This window comes from Homo sapiens, chromosome 4 (genome assembly GCF_000001405.40).
Source record: "Homo sapiens chromosome 4, GRCh38.p14 Primary Assembly".
In the NCBI taxonomy this organism is placed as follows: domain Eukaryota; kingdom Metazoa; phylum Chordata; class Mammalia; order Primates; family Hominidae; genus Homo; species Homo sapiens.
Genome location: NC_000004.12, coordinates 41,615,122 through 41,641,900, shown reverse-complemented (window position 1 = coordinate 41,641,900; position 26,779 = coordinate 41,615,122). Strand labels below are relative to the sequence as shown.

Below are 26,779 nucleotides of genomic sequence, written 5' to 3'. Positions count from 1 at the left end.
GCCAGTTAGTTAAATAAAAGGAGAAACTCGTTTGCCCTTTCATGTACCAGGAAGTACATGGTTGAACATCCCTAATCCAAAAATCTGAAATCTGAAATGCTCCAAACTCCAAAACTCTTTGAATGCTGACATGACCCCACAAGTGGAGAATTCCACACCTGACCTTGTGTGATGGGGTGCAGCCAAAACTTTGTTTCATGCACAAAATTATTTAAACTATTGTATAAAATCACCTCCAGTCTATATGTATAAGGTATATATGGAACATAAATGAATTTCATGTTTAGACTTGGGTTCCATCCTCAAGATACTTCACTATGTATATGCAAATATTCCAAAATCTAAAAAAGTTCAAAATCTGAAACACTTCTCATTCCAAACATTTTCTATAAGGCAGGCTCAACCTGTATGATTTTTTTTCTCAAGATTTTTTTTTTTTAAGAAATATCAGCAAACTGGCCAAAAAAGAAATAACAAACCTATGAGTGATATATTTATGCCATTTTCAAAAAAAAATTAAGAAGTTGAGAATTGATAATACTAGAAAGAAAATGGGCTGAGTTGTCATTCAGAACATGTTCCCTAGTTCAGGTTAGACTTGGCCTCCCAAATGAAGAGGTGTGTGTCTGGGGATGGGGGTTGGCGGATATGGGATCCTGGAGATGGCCAGCTTCCAGAATATTAATGTGACTTGGACTAATCCTGTGCTCCTCAGTACCTACGTCTATGCCCTTGGGCTGTTGGGATGAGGGCTCCTGGCTGCAGAGTCCAGGAGTCTCCCTTGGTGGTGGGTTGGCATTTTTGAGGGCCGGGATGGAATTACCCCAAGGGCCTGGAAATTGTTTCTGGGCCAAGTCTACCGTAAAGGAATTCAGAATAAAATGGCCTATGGCTCTCACAACGTACCGACTCCTTTGGTGGGCCAGGTATTGGGAGGGAAAGAGTGTGAAAGTGAAGAAAAGGGCAAGAAGGTGAAATTAAATCTATGGAAACATTCTTGGCTGGTTAGGAGGTGGAAATTTCTCTGTTTGCCTGTGCGGTAGGTCTGCCCCTGACCTATATTCTCCTTAAAGGGCTCATCTTTTTTTTGATTGGGCTCTATTTTAAGAATGTGTCAATTATTAATAAATATAGCCTGTGCCAAAAAACTGCCTTTAAAGATTTTGGAAAAAGGAGATATTAAGGGAATAAACTAAAAATAGTATAAGTTTCTATTTTAAGAATAAATTCCTGATATCAACTTTTCATTTTGTTCCCCACATGGTTTCATGTAAATTGTATCTGCTCTAAGCAGGAAACTCAGCACTTTGGATATCCCTAGATAAGAGCTCTGGAAAAAAAGCTCCTTTTACTCTTCTTGGTCCCTGGGGCTGCATTTTGTAAACTTAGAGAAGGCAAGAAGGGAGTCCCTGTCCCCACCCCTTTTAAGAAATCATTAACTTTTCCTGTGGGTGAAGTTTTGTGTTCAGGTGAAGGCAAAATTCAGAAACTCTTTAATTTCCCTTCCTTTCTTTCACCTTTCCCAGGGGTCTATTTTAAGCAAATTGTATAGCAGCCTTGCATTGATGAAGAAGAAATCCATTCTATCAAAATGTTTTCGCTCACCAAACCAAAGTAGTGTTTTGCCTGTCAATCTTATAAAATCCTCCTTTCAGTGAATGTTAAATATTGCCATTGCAGGTTTGAAAAGTAATAACCAGGGCTCAATTTTACAGACTACTTAACTCTGTGCAGTCAGTCAAGCTCAGGCTGAATTTGGTTTTGAGGCATGAGTGTTCTTTATGTCAGATCACACATGGGAAACTTGGCCCTGGAGTTTGACCACTTAGGGCTCAGAGTCCAAACTAAGCAGACATCTTGAACACAAACATGAAAATAGCACAATCTGAAGACACTTAATTTTTTGCCTAATCTCATTGTCATTGGTGGAAATGATGTTTGCATGTTCTACATGCAAATTCTATTCAAATTCCTCATTGTGTGACTTGAAACTGAGGCTCAGGAAAGGATAGGCAGAGGAGGACTGGTGATTACATTCTGGATGGCCCAGGCTCCCACGAGGCCACAAAATGCTCCTCAATATCAGGATCAGCAGACTACTGATGCTGGATTTAGATATTAATCATGTTTCTTCAAATACAAATTACTTGAATCTGAGAAGTCTAGCATTTTGCAAATAAAAAAAAGTTTGCCTTGAATATCAGTTGCAGAATGATCTGCATATGGGAAATCCATTTCTGAAGCAGAGTTAATGTGGTCACAAATGGGAGGGTTTGGAGTCTTCTCAAATTTGGATGTGGAGTACGGGATAAGGAATGAACCTCTGCTTGGTTGAGTGAAAACCAAGCAGCAGGGAGGGGAAGGGCCAGTCATGTCTTACATCCTTGGCCCCCTGCTAAGCCATGGGACTTGAGCAAAACTCCAATGTTTTGGTCTCAAGCATCCCACAGTTTATGTGACTCCAACCTGGGAGGAACTTGGGCTTCTGAATCTATAATTAGTGGTTTGGGATTTATTTTCTTAGTTAAAAAATGAGACTATGGGAATGACTACCTCATTGTTAACTCTAAGCCCCAACATATCAAGAATTAAGTGCAAAACTCAGAATGCCCTTTAAATAAATCTATAGTTCAGAAGGGGTACCAATGTTCAGACCATAACAAGAACAACGACTTTAACATGCCCAGTCTATGGAAAGCAAATGTTAAGTTTCAAGCAGCAGCTTCATATTAGAATCATGCTTAAGTTGCTTTTTCATTCATCTTTCCTGCACAGAATGTATGCTCTGCATTCCAACTTCAAGTGCTTTGCTGCACAAGTCAGCTAACTATTCAGTTCACTTGCATCAGTTGCATTTCAATTAGTGGTAAGTACTGGAAGCATGCAGTTTAGGCTAGTAATTAATGTAATCCTACAAATACAAGGCAACTTACTCTGCGTCATCAGACACAGGAGTTCTCGGACCGTATCTATAAGATCAAATAAAAAATTAGAGGACTGGCAGAGTTGAAAGTGAACACTGTAAGCAAGCTGGAAATAGAAACTGCCGGTGAAATACATGTGCGCCAAACCTTTTTTGCTGAGATACTGAAAGAGAAATGGCATTATACAATTAGCAATATTCATTGGCTGCTGAAAAATCAAAGACAAGTCTTGATATTTCTAAAAAATGCAAAATTTATCTCAAAACCCAGAAGAGAAATGAAAATAATCCCCACACTACCCAAAAAGAAAGAATCTGTTCAATATAAACACAGAAAGGCTTAGGTGCAATCCACAGCGTTTAGAGAAGGCAGCTTAGAAAACAAACATGTATTACAGTCATTCACAAACAGTTCAACTTTTTGTGCCTTTATGTTCAGCAGTAATGGGCTGTAATGGACACCCACTGTACAAGTGCACCCTTACTGACCCTGTCCCTGAGATGTTAATGCATTTGCACAAATAACATCAAAGAGTGTTTCTGCAGTTTTCTGAAGGGAAACCAGAACTCCAACCAGAACCCCAATCAGTGCCTTCCGCATGCATTTGACAGAAACCACAATTCCTAGAAAACTGGTAGCCTTAATCAAAACCAGACTTGAATGATACTCCATAACTTGAAAAACTAAAGTTTTTTTCTAATCTTTTATATTCTCCTGATAATTTAGATCCATAAAGTTGTACCCTCTGCGATAGTCACCGGAAGTCTAAATGAGTCTAAAGCAAAAAGACTAAATTAGAAAAATATTAGAACATTACAAGCCATATTTCCAGCACATGAAAAAACAACAACAACAACAACAACAACAACAACAAAACAACACAGCTCCCACAAATGCCTGTCTCTTCAGCAAAGGCGAGTTTTAAGGGTCAGTTCTTACCTATACCCTGAAAAGCTCCTCCTTTCTGCAATTCTGATGGTGGACAAAGAATAGTGAAGAAAATACGTCCTGCTTCCAGTTTCCAATAAATTACATTTTGGAGTCGGCAGCAAAAATTACCTGGTCCCATGATCAGTTTCACAATAGTTTATAGGAAAAGGGTAATTTCTAAACATCTCTTCCTGCAATCTTAGAGAAATCTTAGAGAATCTTAGAGAAAACACCCCAGAATGCATGAGTGTACACACACATACCCCCTTCTCTCTTATGCTTTTATCATTCTAGAATAATCTACATTCATTGATAATGATTTAATTCACAGTGAAGGCAACCATACCAATGCAAAACCCCAAATCTCTGTTGAAATGGCCAAAAACAAGACAAGGAAAGGGTTTATGAATGTTTTTCTTCTGGCAGTAAGACTCATTTTCTCCTTCTCCAGAGTATCGTTTCGGAAGGTGCTTAAGTTGAACCTAATATTCTCAATTTTCAAAAACACTACTGCATTGAAGCAGATGACAAGTGGGTTCTTTCACATTGAGAGAGTGGGCTGGGCGTGGTGGCTCATGCTTGTAATCCCAGCACTTTGGGAGGCCAAGGCAGGCAGATTGCTTGAGCTCAGGAGTTCGAGACCAGCCTGGGCAACATGGCAAAGCCTTGTCTCTACCAATCACATAAAAAATTAGCTGGGCATGGTGGTGCACACCTGTGGTCCCAGCTACTCTGGAGGGTGAGGCAGGAGAATCACTTGAACTGGGGAGGCAGAGGTTGCAGTGAGCAGAGATCACGCCACTGTACTCCAGCCTGGGTGACAACAGAGTGAGACTCTGTCTGAAAAGGAAAGGAAAGGAAAAGGAAAAGGAGTGCAAGGGCAATATTAATTCTGAAGACTAGGTAAGTGTTTCCCAGTTAATAAATAGGCCTATTGGAATACATTTATTCAAACACAGTGTTTTCTAAGTTATCTATGGAAGAGAGCAGAGAATTTCTTCCCAATGGATGGTTAATCAAGAATCTATTAATAGTTGCTATGTGTTTTTGTGTTTCAATTTGAATATTTTAATTAACATTTTATTGAAGTTTAAGCTATATACAGAAAGTGCACATACCACACATATACTTCAATGCATTTTCACAAAATGAACATATGCATAGATTAGCGTTGAGTGATTTGTACTACGTAAACAGACTCAAATAGTATGTACTCTTGAGTTTGTCTTCTTTAGCACATTTTGTGAGTTTCAACTATGTTGTTGCATGTAGGATATATCTGAATTTAAGTTGTTTCTACACAAAGTAATTAACAGTATTTCATGGACATCTCTACCAATAAATGTAGATCTATACCAAAATGTAAGCCCCACAGAAGCAGAGATTTTTCTGTTTGGGTTCCCTGAACAGTGGCCAGACTAGTCAATAAGTATTTATTAAATACTTATCAGGTGCTCTAGAAATTGAAGAGAAAAGAATAGCCCAGTTTCCGAAGATAACCTTCATTTATCCCTTTACTATGTACTGGGGGTTTAAGGAATTTCCTCTGAGACTTGTATTAGCTTTAAAAGGGCACCAACTTAAGCAGAATTGCCTTTGCTGGCAAGGGGAAGATAATTAGAGCTGAGGTGTCAAGTGACTTTCCCAATCATCCTACAGGAGATCAAAAAGTAAAGGCAAGTTAGCAAAAAAAAAAAAAAAAAAAAGTAATAAAGCAATCTTTCCAATGCAAAGTACGTGACTCAATAGGTTATGAGGTAAAAATTGGCCACGCAGGTCACAGTTGACAAAAGCATCCTACAAAAAAAAAAAAAAAGTCAATAAAGTTTAATTTTGAGGCCAGGCATGGTGGCTCATGCCTATAATCCCAACACTTGGGAGGCTGAAGTTAGAGGATCACTTGAGGCCAGGAGTTTGAGACCAGCCTGGGCAACATAGTGAGACTCTGCCTCTACAAAATAAAAACAAAAAAATCAGCCAGGTGTAGTGGTGTACGCCTGTGGTCCCAGCTACTTGGGAGGCTGAGGTGGGAGGATTGCTCAAGTCTGGAAGGGATATGCTGCAGTGAACTATGATCACACTAGCTTGGGTGATGGAGTGAGATCCTGTCTCAAAAAAATAAAATAAAGTTTACTTTTGAGGGTAGGGGTAGGTAGAAAGATAAAGGGAATAGCCTATGCACCCATTGCCTGTATTTATGTAACTTTCACTACTAATAAAGCATTTCAGAATCAATAATTTGATAGTTATCTATTTCTATATCATGAACTAGCGTTAGCTTAAAGTGTTTTTACTGCTCATCTAAGATCACCCCCAGCATCCAGCACAGTGCTTTACACATAGTGATTATTACTTGATAAACACTTGTTGATAGGAAATGTGCATACCGACAGTGTTTGCTGGCTCATTCACACAATATGTCACATAGTTCACCTGACCATTCCTCCCTGTGCTCAGAGTAACTGTCCATTCCCATGTGAAAATAAAGAGGAATCTTTCCAGAATCACAAAGAGTGACAGGCCAGGTGCAGTGGCTCAAACCTGTAATCCCGGGACTTTGGGAGATCAAGGCAGGTGGATCACTTGAGGTCAGGAGTTCCAGACCAGCCTGGCCAACACAGCGAAACCCCGTCTCTACTAAAAATACAAAAATTAGCTGGGCGTGGTGGAGGGCGCATATAATCCCAGCTATTCAGGAGGCTGAGGCATAAGAATCGCTTGAATGGGCAGAGGTTTCAGTGAGCTGAGATCGGGCCCTGCACTCCAGTCTGGGCAACAAAGCAAGACTCCATCTCAAAAAAAAAAAAAAAGTGACAGAGAATTCCTCAGGCTTCCACAGTCTCCTCTAGTTACTCGTGTAGGCATCATGCTGGAGAGGGATGCTGGTTTTCCACTCTGACAGAGCTGAGTTTGGATCTTGGCTCTGTAGGTACCAGCTGTGTACATGTGGACCTCAGTTTCCTAACTGCAAAATGCAGATGAAAATTCTTCCTCTCAAAGGTAGTGTAAGGAATAAATGAATGGGAGAGCGCCTAAATGTATCCAGTAGGCAGTCTCTAGGCCTCACCTCCTTCTTTCCTTTCATTCTAACTTGCTTTACAGAAGCCCGCGGATCCAGGGTCAAGTCCAGGGCATCTGGAAAGTGAGTAACTGTGGAGGACCCACTTCACCACTCTGTTCCTCTGTCTTCCCAGTCCTAACCAGCTCGGGAATCATGTGTGATCCACTCACGCAGCTTTTCTCTACATCAGCCTTCTTATTTGTGAAATGGAGCTAACATAGATTCCTTCAACCTACCTGTGAATTCCCAGGACAAGGTGAGCTTGAGGGAGCAGACACACAGGAAACGCTACAAAGCACTCTGTGGTTGTAAAGCACAAATATTACTTCTGCTCCCTGAAAACAGTGCTAGGCTCCATTACTGTTTTATTCAGAAGAATGTAAAATATAGATTAAATTCAGGTGATCAAGATGGCTAGGGTATTGATTTTTTAAAAATCTGGAGAGATTACCTACTGTTCTCCTTGCCTCCCACTCTGCCTTCTCTCCCACTGCCATCAGGGTCCTTGGAGAAGCAGAACTCCATTGCTTCCTATTTTATGGTGAGCTTATAAATTATGCAAAGCCCTCCTCACTTCTTTGCCCTACATTGGTAGGCTTACCATACATTTAACAAAAATGTATCACTTTTATTAAATGGCAAGACAGGCTTCAACATATAGGACCCTAAACTGGAACAGGAACCCCAGGATAATTATTTCCTTAGTCGTCATCAAGTCATGGTTGACTCTAAGTCAAGTCAGAGCATGGAATAGAAATCCTACTGCAGAAGGCAACGAGTGTTTGCTAATGTTGAAAAATTAATATAATTACAACTTTTATAAATGTATTCATCTTCTTTGGACCTGGAATCAAAGTGAAATCAAGTAAGTCAGATAGAAGTTCAACCCCTTTGCCCAAAGGCTCCTATGTGAGCTAGAAAGAAATAAAAGAATTTCCCATTTATTCAGTCCACAAGAGTCAGAAAAAAATGTTTAACAGGTAAATTCACCACTGAATCACACCTGCTTACATGTAAAAAGAGGAAAAATTTCTTCGCAGATGAGGCCAATTTTGATCATTCTGTTTCTGCTAGCAACAGCAGGTAAGCGGCACTGAGGTGCCATAATGCATTAAGAACACACTGAAAGCTCAGACTGGAGAAACAAAGTCACAAGGGCACAGAATAACTTTCTGACCTCTGATCTTTCATGGGTAGACCTTTAGAAGATTCTTCCACATCCTGTTGCTTTGCAAATGGAACTGGAAGGAACTGGTTTGGGTTGGATCCAGTGTGTCTAAGGGACATCCCAGTTCTCCTGGCCATCATGTCATCTTTTCGTGAATCATCCAACTTTCGCTGGCCTTTCAGTCCACTGCCACTCCAGGCAGGAGCTGTCATCTTCTCCAACTTCTCTTCTGTCCCTGAAGCCTCACACTCAGAGGCCAGAGGACACACCCTAGGGCAACATTCAGTCCAGCCAGTCAAAGGCCACTTACTGCTAAAGATATTTTCAGTAGTGTCACTCACTGGCGTTAATTCAAGACAGAAGAAGCCAGCATCCCTGGAGGCAGCGGCACACAGAGCAGCTGAGCAGGAAATCTCCCTTTTGAGTACTGGGACCCTCTGTCATGCAGCTGATACTCACACAGGAATGGGGGTCCCTTTCTGGTTTTCATGAGTCCTGAGAATGAAATTTGGCCAGTACTCAGCCACATGCAAAGGCTAAAATATCTACCCAGAGCGGGCACCAGAAGCAGAACTCTGATCTTGGGATGAGCACACTCTTTTAGTGACTTTACTCCACGCTCTATCAGTCGCCAGGTGCAGACTGTGACTTTAAGCTGTTTTTTTGGGAACACGACAGCCACACACAGCAGGGGCAACACACCACGGAGCAGAGCGCAGGCAAGATGCTCACAGTGGCTGGCTGCTGTCCTCTGATCTTTCTGCCTTTGACAGCCTCTCAGAATCTCTTGGAGCGCTTTCTGTTTCTTCTTTGCCATCCTGTGGCAGCTGTTTGGATGTAACTAAAGCCAGAGAGGACAGTTTCACTCCTAGGAAAGAATTCACACCAGAGGCTCTGACCCCACCTGTCCTCCTTCACCTCCCGGGAAGGCAGGAAACACTGCTCCTCACCTTCCTCTGTCCCCCTCGGGCACTCGCCCAAACTGCAGACCCACTCTTCCTGAGACTCCGGCACAGGAGCCAGCCACGAGGCCCTTCTGCAATAGTCACCTCGGCCACAATTCATTGTTCTGCAGACGATCAAGTAGCATTGGTGGCAAGAGAGGAGAGGAACATGGGTTACGAAAGAAGACAGTGAAAGTCCTTGGGACTGAAAGATTAAGAGAAGAATGTGGCTGCTCTCATTCCAAAGGCTGGTTAGTAAGGATGATATAATCAGATTGAGATAATGGAATGTGAACTCTGGCTAGGGCCTATGAAGGTCAAACAAGGCTGTGTGACTCTGTCACCACAAGACTGAATGATGGGCCTCTCAGGATTCAAGGCCTCGAGGACGTATTTCTTATTAATTTCCTACCCCCTCCTCCCCACCCCAGATCCCCACCATCCTCTGAAACCTCAACTCTTTATTTCTGGTGTTTATAGCCTTCTCTCTTCTATGGTGTCACCCCGAGTCTGGAACCAAAGAAACCCTTCTATAGGTCATAGGCCATCCATCATTTCCTTTGGATTTCAAGGGCAAGGTATAAAGAAGAATGCTATGAACACTTCTTCCTGCTACGGAGAGCCTCACTTTGCTCCTGCTGTACAGAGGGAATGGAGGTTCCCAGGGCAATCCGGTTTTACACATGTCCTATATGTGTTTCCTGGAAGACAGACCAGCCCACAGAACCAAATCCCCAAAAGAGGGCTTGGGAACTCAAAACTGGGTGGCCTCCAGGGAGGATGAGAACTGAGACAGGCCTATAAAGGTGTTCTTCCCTCACACATTTGGATAGCGATTCATCCAAGGAAACTCTCGACTTACAGAAACCCCCAAAGAGGAGGTTTTTAAGACTCCTGATTTATTATATAATTTTAAAAAGTGGGGGAGGAAGGAGACCTTTACTTTTTTAATATGTCTACTTAGATGTATGTCTGAAACGTGAACTCATGATACTAATAACTTTTTCTTTCTCTCTCTAAGGGACAGGAAAGAGAGAGGTTATACATAAGCCCAGGAAACCCTACTGATATCATTAAAACATTCCATTTAGCTCATTTGGTATTTTCAACTAATAAAATAGTACTGGATGCAGCCAAGGGAAAAAGGGTCATTTGCCAAGATTATTGGCATTCCCAGGCAGTGATTCTGGTGACAACAGAATCAAAATGGATGCCTGCCATTTAACTTCACATACATGTTCCCCGCAGGGGGACCCGCTAACATTACTTCTCTGCTATACATAGTCTGTTAAAACTATGTCATCTCTAGGGGCTTGTATAATGTGCTTCAGCAAACTCTACAAAAGCAGCAGTGACTCCCATGCAGATATCCTTGCACACGTATGGCAAAAAATACCTGCAGTCATTTTGTCGATTAAATATTTGGTGGCCCTTTAAGCTGGAAGTGGCCGCTGAGACAGGAGACACAGAGTCCATTTGAATCTTGCTGCCATGACAGATGACTTCTTCTTCATCCTCTCTAGGCCCAGCCTTGCCAATGCTAAGCCGCTTCCATTTCTGCTGATCTAGCTCCGTCACTGGCCCAAAGTGCACAAACTTTTGCCTGGGGCTGGAAGCTTTCTTAGAGGCCCTTGCTTTGCGGTTGGCAAAGTCATCACGAATGGCAGTTTCTGCTTTAATTTCTGGGGAAGGCTCAGAAGCACAGATGTGCTGAACATCTCCATCCCTAGTCAAAACCAGAAATAAGTTCTAAAAGTGTCTGAGTACAAATCAATAAGAGGTTTTTAAAAAAAAAACAAAAAAAAAAACTAGAAGTAGTTGGCCCTCCCTATCAGTGAGTTCGGCATCCCACTGACGGGATTCAACCAACCTCAATGGAAATTATTTGGGAGAAAAAAATTCCACAAAGTTTCAAAAAGCAAAACTTGAATTTGCCGTGCACTAAGTACTACACTGAATCCACATGAATAAAGTGATGTGAAAGCACTGTATTAGGTATACACGTATAAGGTATGCTTACGTTAATGTAGCTATTATCGGTAATCTACAGATAATTTAAAGTATATGGGAGGATGTGCATAGGTTATATGCAAATACTATACCATTTCATATAAGGAACTTGAGCCTCTAAGAATTTTGGTATCCAAGGGGAATTCTGGAATCAAGCACGGATACTGAGGGAAGACTGTATATGAAAAATATTTTTAAGGCTAGAGCAAAATTGCTTTTTCATTAACACTCAAATGGAGAAATGATCATTGTCTTGCCTAGAAATGATCATTACCTTGTCTTTAAGCTTCTATAGCTTTCAAAACATCAATTCTAACATCTCTAACATCATAAACAAGGGCATAAGAAAATCTTAGGTACTGTGGAATAATTAAAATTATTTGAAAGTCAAGTTTAAATTATTTACAGTAAACAAGTCTATCAAAATAAATAAACATTCTTAGAAAGTTGGCTGGGTTAAAAAGAGAATGTTTTCTCTCCATGTGGTTTGTAACTTTTAGTATTAATAAATTCATCTCATGCTGCATATGCTGAGCTCCAGCAGCTCTGTGATGTGAGACGCACTTTTTCAAGCCATCAAAATAAAAAATGATACAAGGGGCTTGCACGGTGGCTCATGCCTGTAATCCCAGCACTTTGGGAGGCTGATATGGAAGGATCACTTGAGCCCCAGGAGCCCTAGGTGTTCGAGATCAGCCTGAGCAACATAGCAAGACCCCATCTCTATTTAAAAAAATTAATTAATTAATTAAAATTTTGGCCAGGTGCAGTGGCTCACATCTGTAATCCCAAGACTTTGGGAAGCTGAGGTGGGAGGATCCCTTGAGCCCAGGAGTTCAAGACCAGCATGGGCAGCATAGTGAGACCTTGTCTCTAGAAAAAATCAAAAGATTAACCAGGCATAGTGGCATGGGCCTGTAGTCCCAGCTATTCAAGAGGCTGAGGGAGAGGACTGCTTGAGCCCAGGAGTCGAGGGTACAGTGAACTGTGATCAAGCCACTATATTCCAGCCTGGGCAACAGAGCAAGACCCTGACAAAAAAAAAAAAGACACAAAGATAAGCATTTGATGCCTTCAAAATGAAATACCATGACTGCCAGGGGGAAACTGGGGGGGAAACATGACACACCTCGCCTTTTCTGACACTTTGAGTCTCTCCCACGTCTCCAAGTCAGCTTCTGTTATGTTGGAGAGCGTAATGAAGCTCGGGGGCTCGCGGTGAGGGGCAAGGCTGCCCTGAATTCTCTGCTGGGCCAGGTCATCCTTGTGAAGATCTGGCACCTTCCTGAGTCCTCCTTCCACAGGTTCACTTTCCTGAGCCCTCATGTTACAGGTCACTATCAACTTCACCTCTTCTGTGTGGCCCTGGTTTCTGTCCATTTGATCCGGGCCCCCACACCAATGGAAAAATCAAGTTCAAGGAAGGGGAGCAGACAAAGAGAATGTCAAGCATGGAAACTCACAGGCTGAGGACAGAACAAAATGATGGAAACACTTTTCTCTTTCTCAAAAATGGAATCAACGGGAGCTGTGATGACTTTCATCTATACCACCCTTATTACAACTCTGAATGAGACAGAGGTTTTTTTCCCCTTCCAGATGACAGTCTCAACTACAGTTTAGGAAAAGAAGCCGTGCCTGCTGAAAGATTACTAATGGTAATGAGATTTTGGTTGGATGGTAATGATGCCCAATTCCCACACTATTCAAGTTACTGTAATGAATTCGGGTTTTCTGATGAATCCCTTAGCCCTCTTGGAATGTTTTTTACTGCATTAGTAAAATGTTCATAATGAGCTCTGCATGATCCAAATTCTAGGATTAGTTTGGAGATAGCTGGAACATTGTTCACATATTAAACATCTCAAACCTAAACCCACAGCTGCCAGAAAGTACATCTAAGTCAATTCTGAACAGAAAGTTTCAATGTTTAAACTCAACGTCTGCTTCATGGCATTAGTCAGGTTTGGCTAATGCAAACTTGAAAAGCAGAGGGTATTCCTCTTTACCTGGATTGACAGGGTCAATACCCACTTGTTTCTTGTGTTAATAACCGTTCACCTTTATTGATGCTAAAACTGATATTTTCCATTGTTCTCCTATGAAGTGAACCTTAGCTGGCTAATGTTGACAAAACTGCGATTTAAACCAAAGCTGTGGCATTTATATATATAAATATTCCATTAAAAGTCTATTTCTAACTAAATATGCTTCTTGAAATAGAAAAATCTCAAAAAATATATAAATAGAGCCTATTAATCTTCCCACAAAATATATCATTCAAGCTGGAAAATCAAGAGGTAGTCTTTTGTTACCTTGATGATTTGGCATGCTTGCACAGCCCATAAAAATAGAAAGGCTATAGAATTTTCTTAGTTTGAGGAAGGAGATCAAGGAAGGGCATGGCAAAGAGGCACTAGGGACCCTTCTTTTTTTTTTTTTTTTTAATAAGTTCTTTGATGCTGTCTAGAGAGGTCAAGGGCTGCTTCAGACCCAGAACTGCGTCCGCAAACACAGAGTCAGGTGACAACAGACAAATATAGCTGGAAATATCAGGAATTAAAATTACATGGAGGAGAAAGGAAACAAGGGAGATACAAAGGCTAGTCCTTTTCCTGACTCAAATTGCTGATTGCCATCAATATGCCTTGATGTTAGTCAGTTATCCAAAAGTCTTTGTTTCACTTGCACAACTGATCCCTCCCACAAGGCCCTCCAAGAATGGTTTGTTACAAGGCCTGCCAACAGCAATGGCAAAGACCAAGGGCCTCCTGAAGCTATAATGTGTCCTGTAAAGAAATGATGCCAGATTTTCTCTTATCGAATCCCTGTTCTATATCCAGGAATCCCTCATGGGTTTTTGTATCTGGTACTTCCTAAGAAAAATCAAAAAGACCAACTACTCCCCTGAGCTCAACAACTCTGCCTAAAGAACCATTTTAATTGTCTAAAGCACAGCTGAGATAATTATATACTAAGTTCAACAGGCTTAAAAACCTCTAAAGTGATGGGCAAAAAGATGACAATTCAATAATGTAGATGCTAACTCTAGCTGATTTTGATATAAGGAAAAATACAAGAATGATTAACTCTGCAGGATGAAATTCAGCAAGTAGGTTCCCTAAATGAAATCATATCTCCCTCTCAGGACAAAAATCACTGGTCAAATTCCATCTTACTATAATTTTCCTGTCCCCAATTCACTCCAACATGTATTAAGAGGACGGGGAAAATGTTGGCAAAAGGAAACTGGCTTGAAAACAATTTCTATGACAGAACATATAGAAGTATAAGTTTGAGAAGTGTTTTTGATGGGAAATATCCATTATCATTTGTCTAGGTGATGTTGCTGGTGTGACAGAAGAAAGAACAAGTCTCATTTTTTTTTCTTCCAACATCTAAATGTAGCTAATAAGAGAGAAGTGCTTTTAGCGTTTTTCTGCTTCCTTTGAATGGACTAGAGCAGCTGTGAGAGGTGGCTGTTCTCTGATAGGCAATAGTACATGTCTATTTTTGCTAATAATGCCAACTGATGACACCAGCACCCATATGTGGTGATGAGCCCTGATTCAGCACATCTACACACTGGAATTCAATGTTTCTTTGGCAAATTCAGCCCTATTTTGGACATGGACACTCTACTGTCTGCCATCTGCATTTAAGGGAGATTGAATATCTAAAGTTCCGCTTCAAAATAAACCCCCATTACAAAGTACATATAATTGAGAGGCTGGAAAGAGGAACTGGAGGGGGTACAATACAAACTGACTTCACTTAATTATGTCCTCTCTCCCTGTGTCTCTTTCATAGACACACACACACACACACACACACACACACACACCATGCACACCTTTTATATTCTAGACTTCTTTTTTTTGAGATTCCCTTTGAGAGCTGTTTGCTGCCATCTGATTTCTCTGCCCCTTTCTTTGGATAAGGGCCATAGAGGAGTTGATTTAATGGCACCATTGGCTTGGTTTGGTTCATCCTTGCTCTCCTTGCAGCAAAGTCATCCTTCTCAAGATCAGGCAGTCGACACACAACTTCACCTTCTGCCTCTGAATCGTTGCCATGTTGGTGGGTCAGGAAAGAGTTTTCTTTGCGAAGGACAATATCACGAATAGCTTCTTTCTCTTCACTTAATTGTTTTTGACTGATAGGGGAAAATTAAATGGGACTCCACATGTGATCAGACAAAAAAAATTAAATCTCCATCTCTAGACAGACAACTGTGTTGTTAGTGAAAAGTCTTCTCGATATTGTTAGTTCAAATGACATCTGTTCATTATTTCAGTCTAGAATTGCAGCATAGTTAGGGTGGGTTTTAAAACCTTGAATTTAGCCAGACACTAGCAATACTAAAAATTCATTTAATTTTCAGGGCTTCCACCAGCAACAGAAAAGCAGGATCCTAAATGGCTCTGAAAGTGACAGTGCAGATTCTTTGCATGAAATTGGGGAAAAATGGGAAGCTTTTTGTTACTGTTCCTTTTTCTTTAGCACATGAGTACCCAGTAGACACTTAATTTGTTTTTGACTGACAGGGCAAAAAATTGAGCCACCAAGAAACTGATCTGGGGGAAAACAAATGAATGCAGCTGTGTGACACCACACCTAGAATGTGTAACAGATTACAAAATGTAAGGAAGTCTTTCTTCAGAGCTGAGCTAACCTGAAACATCTGGGATAGTTTACGACCACTCATAGGATGGTCTTAAACTATTCCATTCCCTGGTCCTCCACTCCCAGGAAGCTTATCTTGCCCTGCACCTTTCCATCAGCAACTCTTTCTTCCCTCTTCTATCCTCCTGTCTCTCCACCTCTCTTCTTTTTCTTTTTTTTAAGAGACAGGGTCTTGTTCTGTCACCCAGGCTGGAACGCAGTGGTGCAATCATAGCTCTCATACCCTAATTTGGGAGCAGATCTTCTGCTTGAACCCCTGAAGTCCAAGAGCAACATTCTTTCCACTTTGGGACAAACCAAACAGTCCTGGGCTCCAACCTCCCCCAACTTGGGCAGAATTTTTTGGAATAAAATATTCGTATTTATGCAAATGACCCTGCCAATTTGCGATGCCAATTTGAGCAGGGAGAATCTGGTCCCTTGTGCATCTTGTGAACCCAGCCAGGCTGCAAATTCCGTTGGGTGTTTATTTTTAGGCTAAATGCCCAGTGTGGCAAGACTCATTTCAAGTGATCTCAATTTAGATATGCAGACTTAAAAAAATATATAAAAAAGAGCGTGAAGAAAGTTTCCGTATCATTGGCTATTTGAAGACACTCCCCACCCACTTGAAAAGTTGTCACAATGACTGATTTTCCACTAATTGCTTGAGTCTTTTAAATTCAGAGCTTCAAGGCAGATTCACGGCGAGCAAAAAATAATGATACAAGTTTTGAGCTGGCCCTGTTGGCCTTGAAATAATAAATAATATGTATAAGGTAGATATGTAGGATTGTATTCACAGGTGTCTAGGTATCAAAATACTTAAATGACTTTTATAATGTGCTTTTTTTTTCTTTGAAGGACCTTAAGGACAGTCTTTTGTGAAACTTGGGTCTGTTTTACTTTATTTTTCAATAACTACAACTCTTAGTAGCTAGTACATTTAGTACATTCCAGATACACTAACTTTCATGACAACCCTGCAAAATAGGAATTATGACGCCCACTTTGCAGAAGAGAATATTAAGGTCTCTAGCTCAAGCCATCTGAACTCAGGTAAATTAATTAAAGTATACTCAAGGGGCAGGCCAGGCTGTCTGGCTTTATATTCATGAGGAGGTTTGGCACTTTTATTTTGTCCAAGTCACTCATAGATGAGTAGCTTTGGGAAGAAGGAGTTGCTTTGGGGGCACAGCTCACTGTTTCATGTGGAAGGAATACAGTGTGGCAATGTGAAACGAGAAATGCCAAGCCCTGCCTCCAACTGGCGATCCTGCACAGCCTCACCTAAAGAAAGGCAGGCTAGCTTTCTTGGTAGGAGGGATTACGGACTCAAAGCAGGTGAGGGGGAAGAAAAGCTCTTGTCTCAACATTTCTGAGGCTTATATATTTCAAAGTGAATGAGGTAATGATTTAAGCTAAGGAAGAGCTGGTGTTTTCTTTCACCCGGTTTTATGTGGCAATGCATAAGCAACCAGGTCAGATTGGTAGCTAGTGTGTTCCAATGAAGGAAACTCTGCTCTCCAGAAAAGCCTGTTAGTCCCCCTGGGAATGTCCTGGGTGACACTGGAAACTTCCCTGTTCACCCCATCTCCAATCAGGGCAGCTATTTGGTCGGTGCACAAGTAATTGCGGTTTTTGCCTTTAAAAATGGCAAAACCGCAATTACTTGTGCACCGCCCTAATACATCCAGAGTCACAAAGGTTCGTGCAAGTTATGTGCCTGACTGGTCCCCGATACCCAAGGATCTGTTCAGCAGCCACGGTGAACCGGCGTTTGGTAAGGAGGGCTGTAGAGGAATCCATGTCTGGCACTTAGCTGCATCTGCTCTTCCTCTAAAGATTTCTAAAATGTCTATTGTTCCTCGGAGGTTTTTTTACGCCCCCACACCCCCTGCCTTGTTTTCCCCTCTGTAATTAATTACTACGTGGTTGAGAAGATCCACAGACTAGCAGAAAGCAAGCACTGAGTGCTGAAACATATGAAAACAATTAGAAAAGAGGTACAATCATGTGAAACCTATAATTCAGTTCAAAAAAAAGTTTACTTCTCCAATGGGAAACACCAAGTAAAAGAACTCAAATCTCCATGGCATTTTAATTCAGGGGAAGTGCATCTTGGTTCTTATTTTATCCTCTTAAAAACAGAAATCTTGGCTTCTTTGGCAGACTCTCATATTTGGGGGATAATTAAGTTAGCACAACCATAAAATAAAATAGAAGAAAAAGTAATTTATGTACTTTTTCCCTTCAGTGGAAACTCTAATAAATATTAAACTCCACACATTTATTAAGAAATCCTACTTTCTGTCTCTTGATGCTAAGATACCGCTAATATATTGTTTGACAGGAAGCTTGAAACTTCTAGGTTTTTGACCTCTTGTGAAAATGAAATAACATGCACCTTTGCTCCCTTTTGTATACTGCCTTAAAGATAATGCGAGTCTCGCTCTGTTGCCCAGGCTGGAGTGCAGTGACACGATCTCGGCTCACTGCAACCTCTGCCTCCCGGGTTCAAGCAATTCTCTTGCCTCAGCCTCCCAAGTAGCTGGGATTACAGGCCTATGCCACCACGCCTGGCTAATTTTTTTGGTACTTTTAGTGGAGACAGGGTTTCACTATGTTGGCCAGGCTGGTCTTGAACTCCTGACCTCAAGTGATCCGCCCGCCTCGGCCTGCCAAAGTGCTCGAATTACAGGTTTGGGCCACCGCACCCAGCCTAGCAAGGTGTTTAAGAATACTTGGGAAACAAGCAAACAAAAAACAGTCTACAAAATAAAGCTTTGTTGTTCATCTATATGCTCTTCCCCTCGGACATGGCTCTATTATCTCAATCATCTCTGCAAACATTTCCCAGCTGAGAAATGGGCCACAACAAGTGGTCCTCTTGTTGGGTGCAAAGACGTGCTGGTCAGAATTCATCTGGATGTCAAAGACAGAACACTGAGGTTAAAATGCCTCGAGAGATATCAGCGTATTTCAATGATTTAAATTCCTATTTTCCAGACACCAAGAGTCCTTTTCTTTTTCATGATACTTCATTCCAGTTAAGCTACTTTCTGCCACATTAAAAGCAGGATCCCAAATGTGGATAAACTTAGAATGACTCTCAACTCTTGTGGCATGCAAAAAAGTAAGTGACAAAGACGTAGACATGCCAGGCTGGTGGCATGCTATGTGTAAAACCTTTGTGAGAGCGCTGGCTGGCAGCTGAAAAATCTGCCTAACAAATGAATTCTGGGTGTTTGGAGCAGCTGTGTTGTGTTGCTATTGGGAACATTCTCTGAGAATATGCATAATTATCCAGAGCCCAATTTTAAATGCTAAGTCAGAAGACCTGAGGCATCATGACATTAACTGACCTGCAAACTTCTGCATATGAGAGCTAACTTGGATGAAATAGGTTAAAATTAAGCCAAATAACAGGAAACATGAATGGAAGTGAAATAAACAAAGATAATATATATTCATTAGAATTACATTTTTAAACTATGATTTGATGTTTGTACAGTGAATGGGAGTTGTCATAAAAGAGTTCAAAGTTTTTAATAAAATAAACGTCCCAGGTACTGAAGTGGCACAGTACGTGTATGGACTTCCCAGCCTTTACCCCACTTCTCTTCTCTATGTGACCATTATTCCTGAGTGTGCTGAATTAGCTTAATGCCGCTCCCCTTCATCCCCCTTTGCTGTTTTAGATACTCTAAGGATGATGGTATCCTTGGTAAACACTAGCTTAAAGACTTTACACGTGATATAAATGAAAGATGTGTGTCAAAGACAGGAAGATTAAAATTTCAGGTAAGTTCATATTCTTATCTGTATCACTTATTACCTACTACTATGTCCTTAAAGGCAGAAGCTGGAGAAGTCTGAAAAATGGTACCTAGTGAGGAGATAGTATTCCCCTCACTATTATTATTTTTGTCTTCTCAGCATCTAGTCCAGTCTCTGGTACATGGTGTATGGGATGCTCAAGGGATGCAGAAAAAAATGTGTTTGATAAGGTCTCTGTATCAAAACTTTAAAAAATCTGGAGTTTTAAAAAAAGATTTTATTACATTACTCTTTATTTAATAAACTCAGAGAGCTGTTTGTAACATAAACACAATTTTATGTTAGAATATTCCAGAAGCACATACGTGTTCAGAATAGGCATGATTATCTGTAATATACCACAGACAAGGAGGAAGTATATCCTTAGTTGTTTTTTTTTTTAATACAAAGGTACTCTAGAATTAAATTTATGTAACTCAACACTGGATATTTAATTAAGACCTGGACCACATAAATAACCACATGTGGAGCTGTATAGAGAAATGGAAAATGTGTGGGAGGCAGATGTGGTGCTGTGGTCAGAGCATCCGAATCTGATCACCAGGTCGGTGGTGACCAGCTCTGCAAGTCACTGACTATCAACGATCCTCAGCTCCCACTTCTGGACTTCTGGAAGATGGGTATATCAGCCACCTCTTAGACTAGCCTGGCCAACCTGGTAAAACCCCATCTCTACTAAAAATCCAAAAATTAGCCAGGCGTGGTGGTACACGCTTGTAATCCGAGCTACTTGGGAGGCTGAGGCAGGAGAATTGCTTGAACCTGGGAAGCAGAGGTTGCAGTGAGCCAAGATTGCACCACTGCACCCCAGCTTGGGTGACGGAGTGAGACTCTATCTCAAAAAAAAAAAAAAATTAAATGGAACAGCAAGTGGCAAAGGAATTCCAACTGTCAAATTATTATGAATGTCAATTTGTAAAATACATTTTGGCTGCACTATTATTTGTTAGGATCATTGTGGTTATTTTATAAGAAAAATTAACCAGCTTCTCAAAACACTACAGAAGAGTGCAGAACTATAGTTTTCCTTGGCTCTGATTGCTGAAGGTCTCCATCTCACATGTAATATGAAGCTATCAGGACTGGATACTAGTACCTTTGTTACAATTAAAGAGAAGTAATTACTCCATTCTTTGTTTTTGAATCAACATGCTTTAGAAACTAAGGAGTCAAATAAACCCAATTCTACTTAGTACTCTCTTGGGACAAAGAAAGTAAGTGGATTTTGTAAGCCAGCCACTCTCTAAAGAGAGTGTTCCCCATTTCAAAGCAACAGACTATTTTTCTAGTGATGTGTAAAGTAAGATATGAGCCATTTAGGAGTAGCATGAAAATTAACAAGCCACAAACAATAGAAAAATACAATGTTATTGCTAGGTAAATCCTGCAGCCCACACATGACTGATCACAAATACATGACAAAGACAAGGGCTGCACCCAGCAGTGAGGAGCTCACTCTTCACCTTCATTTAAAATACCCAGGAGGTACTTAGCAGAGACATGCCTTAAGGCAAAGACTATCATCTACGTGCTCAGAGCAGGGAACAGTGATGCAATAGGAAAAGCGGGAAGTGGAAAAATCAGATGAAAACTCCAACTCTCTAGACAGATTCCAAATCCCCAGGCATGCAGAAAGCCAGCCGGGCCAGCCCTCAGCCCAGAGCTGACCTGGCAAAGCGCTGTGCTGCTGGCATGACCTTGATTCCAGCTTGCTCTAGCCTTTTGCGCTTTTGGATCTCAGCAGCATCTTTTTCTTCAGACTTGGGAGCTGGTGCCACCACAGCCCCGTCTGAAGAAGGGTGCTCCTTACCACTGCCGTCAGGTAATTCACACCCACCATCGGAAGGCTTCCAACCAGGATTCATTTGGCCAGCTGGGTTGTCTTCACCAGCAGACCCCACTTCACTCCCCTCTTCCTCTATCGTTTCAGGAAAGCTAGTGAGTTGGACAATATGGTTTACCAAACTAACAGACTGGGCTGGGGAGCAGACCCCATGTCATCTCCCCGCTATTCTGATATTACTTTTCACTTTAGAAAAGAAAGTCATAGCACACAATATAATCCTGATAATGTGAAGAAAATTCAACGCAGCCATTTAATTCATACAATGCATCATACCCGCAACATTGAGAGTTATCCCAGACTTGATAATGAAAGGCAAAAACCTTTTCTGCTGGAAAGGTAAATTTCATTAGTTTGTTCAGCAAATTAAAAATTGTAATAACATCTTTATTCAATGGAAAATAATAGTACAGATGGACTATTAGACAAGTTTATTTTATTGTAAGATTCTTGAAGGCAGGGACTCTGCCTTATTTGTTATTGGGTCCCCAATGCCTAGCATATAGTAGATGCTCAATAAGTACTTGCTGAATAAATGAATAAATAAATACAAAAGCATAATCAGAGATTAAAACACTGTTTCTCTAAAGAGATGAGAAATCCATTTATTATGACTATTTCTATATGTTATTGTGAACCACATTCCATGCATCACATATTTGAGCTTATATCAAGTTAATTTAAGCCTAGAGTTTTAAAACATCTTTTTGCATAAAGATAGGAATCTTTCTACGCCTAATCTGACAGGATTGGGAGTCAAGCAGTCTCCGCAGAAGGACAAGGATGACAGATTTGCTCTCAATGTCCTATCAACAGAATTGGTTTCAGAAATCTGCTTATTTAGACAAGTAGTTGCTGAATACCTACTGTGTGCCAGGCACTGTTCTAGGCGCACTCACGAAGCTTCTATTTTCTCCTGACAAGCTCTCTCCAAAGATCTGTCCCACCCACCTCCATCTGTAATCTTCCATCAAAGTTCTGAATTGGTCATTTAACCTCGTTCCTGTCCAGGAGCTGCAGTTCCCAAACCACTCATGCCCAAGCCAGGAAGAGGGCAGCGGTGCTCAGGCCTTACCTGAAGGGCCTCTCCCCACCCAGCGGGGAGGTGGCGGTACTCCAGCTCTTGCGGTATTCCTCTCTCTCTGCTTTCTTCTTTCTCAGAGGCGCGGGGACGTAGGCCGTCTGATTGCTTTTGTTCGGGAGGTACTGGTTAAAAGGCACTGCTGATTTCGGCTCACCATGGGAAGTCCGCCGTGCAGACATGTCATCCTTCTTCACATCTGGCAGCTTCCGATGAGGCAAGTCGGATTCAGAGTCGCTTCCTCTCCCTAGGGAAGAGAGGATGGGTACTGAGAAAGTGTGTTAGGCTAGCAGAAAGTTCCCAATGTTAAGCATGCATTAGGGATGTGGTTCAATCTGTGGGTTCTGAGGATTCCTTCTTAAATCATTCACTTAACAAATCTAAAGTGTAGATTTGTTACACATGTAGATTACTCCACTCTGGGAAAAGAAGGAAAAAAATCAGGAAAAAAACCTGACAAGGGCAAAACTAAAAACTACAGACATAAGCCTAACTGTATCCGAGAATTACAATTAGCAACACATCTGCAATAGGATTTTATGCCTCCTGAGATTCTGCTACTCTCAGAAGAAAACAGAAATTATCCAATGAAGTTTTCACTGAGCCCCTGCTGCATGTCTTACACTATGCTAGATACTCCAGCAAATAAAAATTATGAAGCATTTTGTCTTTGAGGCATCTTTAACCAACCCATAACATACCTAGAGAATTTAAGTTATAATCAAGAAGCACAGATGTAGAACAACAGAAACTCAGAAAAGTGATCAATTCGGATTATACCAAGGGTTTGTCTTCCAGGAAGTGGTTCAAGTAGTTCCTCTGCATGGGAGCTCTTCCTGGTTCCCACGGCTGGAGGCAATCTGTTCTTCCTGTGAACCCTATGCCCCCATGATCTTGTCTTTTCTTCTGGCACATTATACTTTCTACCTTGTACTTTGAGAATAAGGGCTTTATAGTTTTTATAGTTATTATGTCATTGCCTTTGTACACAGTGGGCATCCTTAGATTATCTGATGAATAAAAGAGTTGGTTTGGCTTAGAGTGTTTTAAACAACACAAAGGAATTCAGCATTCCCAACATCAGCCATTTGTTGGACAAAAGCCCCAATAATTATATAGTATTCTTGTTTCCTGAGTCTCATCTTATTAGATTTCTAGGATCTATTAGTATGAAGCCATCATTCCAACAAACACTGCCATATAAGTAGCGGCCACTTCAATGCTGGTTGAAAACAATCAATGAGAGCATTACAAGATTATTCAACTATGGTGGTAACAAATAAAATATATACCTATTTACCCTTAAGAAAAGAGCCTTAAACTAAGAGCCAGGAGATGTGGCATCCTGGCAGAGAAGGTTGGTGTTAAGTCAGAGCCACTTCCTTTTGAGTTCTGCTGCTCATTAGCCATGAGACTTTACATATGTTACATCAGTACTTTAAGCCTCAGTTTCCCAATTTACAAAATGAGGATAATAATATCCCTACTTCATAGCTGTTGGAAGAACCAGATACATATGAAACTATTGGTACAGTGCTTGGGGCAGCCTAAGTGCTTAATAAATGCTGGCTACTCTTTATGTCATAATAGTTCTGGATCTGTCAGAAATGAGCTGGGGCTCCTAGGGTTGTCTCTAACACACTTGACTGTCCTTTTCTGTAAAATAGGAATAAAATGATTTGCCCTGGAGGTTAAATGATATAATGGCTTTTAAAAGACTGTAAACGTTAAAGGCATTGACCATAAACAAGTTGTTCATTGTTGCAGATGAAATATTCAGTTTATGAATTATTCATGCCACATGCTTTCAGTCCTCCTTCTGAAGTTTTGACCATTTCATTACTTATTAGTACAGTATTTGACTCACAATTTAGCTCCTTTCCACCCGGTCCTTAAACAAGTATATCTGTCTCAGTATCATAATGAAATGTTTAGAGCCCCCTGTGAATTGCTTTATAAACAAACATTACCCTACCTTGCTAAACTCTTAAATTTGTTTCCCCATTTGATACTATCCCATTTTATAAAGGTGGGTACAGAGGCTCAGAGACACTGTAGGAACCCCTGCTGCAGGGCTGGTTAGTGACAGTTCTGAAACTCTACTTTCTGTTCTCTTGACTCCCAAAGTTCTTTCCTCTGTGACACACCTGTCTTGGGAAAATGTCTCCTGATAAAAGTGTTCTGACTACGAGAAGTGCTGCACTTTGTTGAACAAATAAAGCAAATGATTCTTCAATCAACTATGAAAGCTTAGTGATGGATTAGAGTTGTCTCAGGTCCCTCAATTCTAAAATCCTATAATCTATGAATCCTATTTGTGTATAGTATCTATACACACACATATATAGATATAGATATATATTTATATTATCTATAATATACTGAGTGAAAGTCTCCAAATATGTTGTCTAACAACATAAGCAAATCACTTTTTCCCCCAATTATTCTTTGGTGAATGTCTTAGACACTTCAAGAAATATTAGCCATGCAAATGCTCCAGGACAGAGTAGCTCAGTTGAAAGAAGTATAGGTTTATGGATTTAGAGACCAGGGTCTAAAATTTCAGCTCTACCATCTACTAGCTGTGTGACCCTGGGATACTTAAATCTTCTATACTTCAGGGTCCTCATGGGATACATGGAGGTGATAATACAGGTATCACATGTTGTCGCAAGAATTAAATGAGATGACATAAAGCACCTAGGAGGTGGCCGGCCCAGTATACCCTTGGGAAATGTCAGAGTCTTCTTTTGAGGCTGACACCTCAAAAGTTTTGACTTCACTTCTCCCTGTGAACATGGAAATCTACTAAGGTGGCTTCTCCATTTATGTCCAGAGTTAGGAGAATGTAATCTAGCATGTGATGATGATTTTCTTTATTTTATTATTATTATTATTATTTTTTGAGATGGAGTTTCGCTCTTGTTGTCCAGTCTGGAGTGCAATGGTGTGATCTCAGCTCACTGCAACTTCCACCTCCCAGGTTCAAGTGATTCTCCTGCCTCAGCCTCCTGAGTAGCTGGAATTACAGGCGCCCGCCACCATGCCCAGCTAATTTTTTGTATTTTTAGTAGAGATGGGGTTTCACCAGGTTGGCCAGGCTGGTCTTGAACTCCTGACCTCAGGTGATCTACTCACCTTGGCCTCCTGAAGTGCTGGGATTACTTTTTTTTAATGTATCTTTGCCGTACACACCCCCAACCCTTCGCTTTTTAATCTTCCTCTAGCACTTTGATTTCTCTCATTACTTGTTTCCCTCCCTCAGCACATCTTTGATATAAAACATTAGACTGTTCATTTAACCTAATGCATATTTACAAAATATGTTCTTAATTTTGAAAACATCTGGGTAGAGGGTTTTGTTATTTCCTCTTCAATGAAGCCCATTAAGTGGACTCATAAGAGATGCTATTAATGCTGGGGGAGAAATTGGACACCTGTCTAGCAAGACAGATTGGTTGAATCAACCCTGGGATCTACAGCATCCTACCAGGTAGCTCTGTGTCCAACCCACAGAATCATGATGCTTCTCATGAGTATGGCCCTTGATTATCTTTATTGAATGGATTAGTGGGAGTGGATAATAATAAAATGAAAGATGTCTATATTGGCCCAACATAGAGTTGAATAATTTCATGGTAAGATATTCCCCAATTGATTGTGAGTCCTAGGAAATAAATTCTCAAGACTTACAACAAGTTTTTTCAAATTTGGAAGTGTTTATTAGGACTAGCAATCTTCCTAATCAGCACCATTTAAAAACATACTATAAACGCTTATGAAACCCAACATCTATTTGGCTAAAATTATACTACATTTTAAATGGCAGATTAATAAATGTGTTGTTTTTCTTTAAGAATCTCATTAGGTCTTGATTAGTTTACAAGAGCATAAGCCTTAAGGTATCGGGTTGATTGGTAAAATCTGTGTATAAGAAGCTCTTTCATGGATGGTGTTTGTGAAGCTCTAATTTCATGTTTTTTTGGATGGAGAAAACATTCATAAAAACACTCTAGCTTATCAATTTTAATTGCTGCAAACTAAATTGTACTTCATACATATTAGTATAATATTAGTAATCACCACCTCCAATCCCTTCAAGATGTGATTCGTTTAAACTCTGAACCCCCCAAAGCTGGTAATGATAAATAATGATAATCTACATTACCAGTTAAGAAAAACACAGGATGAAGAAAATGCAATAACTTAAAACAACTAATCAAAATAATATGTATGAAATCGTTTGGTTAAGACATGTTTTGGAAAAGTAAATCTACTCTTTGGTTATGTTAAAGCTCAGTTAGATAGTGAAC

The 26,779-nt window shown here is 40.6% G+C and overlaps 1 protein-coding gene across 54 annotated transcripts in view; it reads right to left on the bottom strand.

Annotated features, from left to right (window-relative positions):
- LIMCH1 (LIM and calponin homology domains 1) overlaps nt 1–26,779 on the bottom strand; it is a 340,438-nt gene that overhangs the window by 58,144 nt on the left and 255,515 nt on the right. For 20 of the 54 annotated variants that reach the window (XM_011513653.2, XM_047449835.1, XM_017007898.2 and 17 more), the window contains 2 exons: nt 22,461–22,713; nt 2,934–2,969 (listed from right to left, as the gene is read on the bottom strand). In XM_011513653.2, the coding sequence (XP_011511955.1) occupies nt 2,934–2,969; nt 22,461–22,713 (289 nt within the window). Of the gene's footprint in view, nt 1–2,933; nt 2,970–8,092; nt 8,354–8,815; nt 8,925–9,033; nt 9,153–10,423; nt 10,754–12,166; nt 12,410–14,890; nt 15,194–21,210; nt 21,478–22,460; nt 22,714–26,779 lie in introns of all 54 variants that reach the window. The other 34 variants (NM_001289124.2, XM_011513654.2, XM_047449838.1 and 31 more) reach the window with 2 other exon arrangements.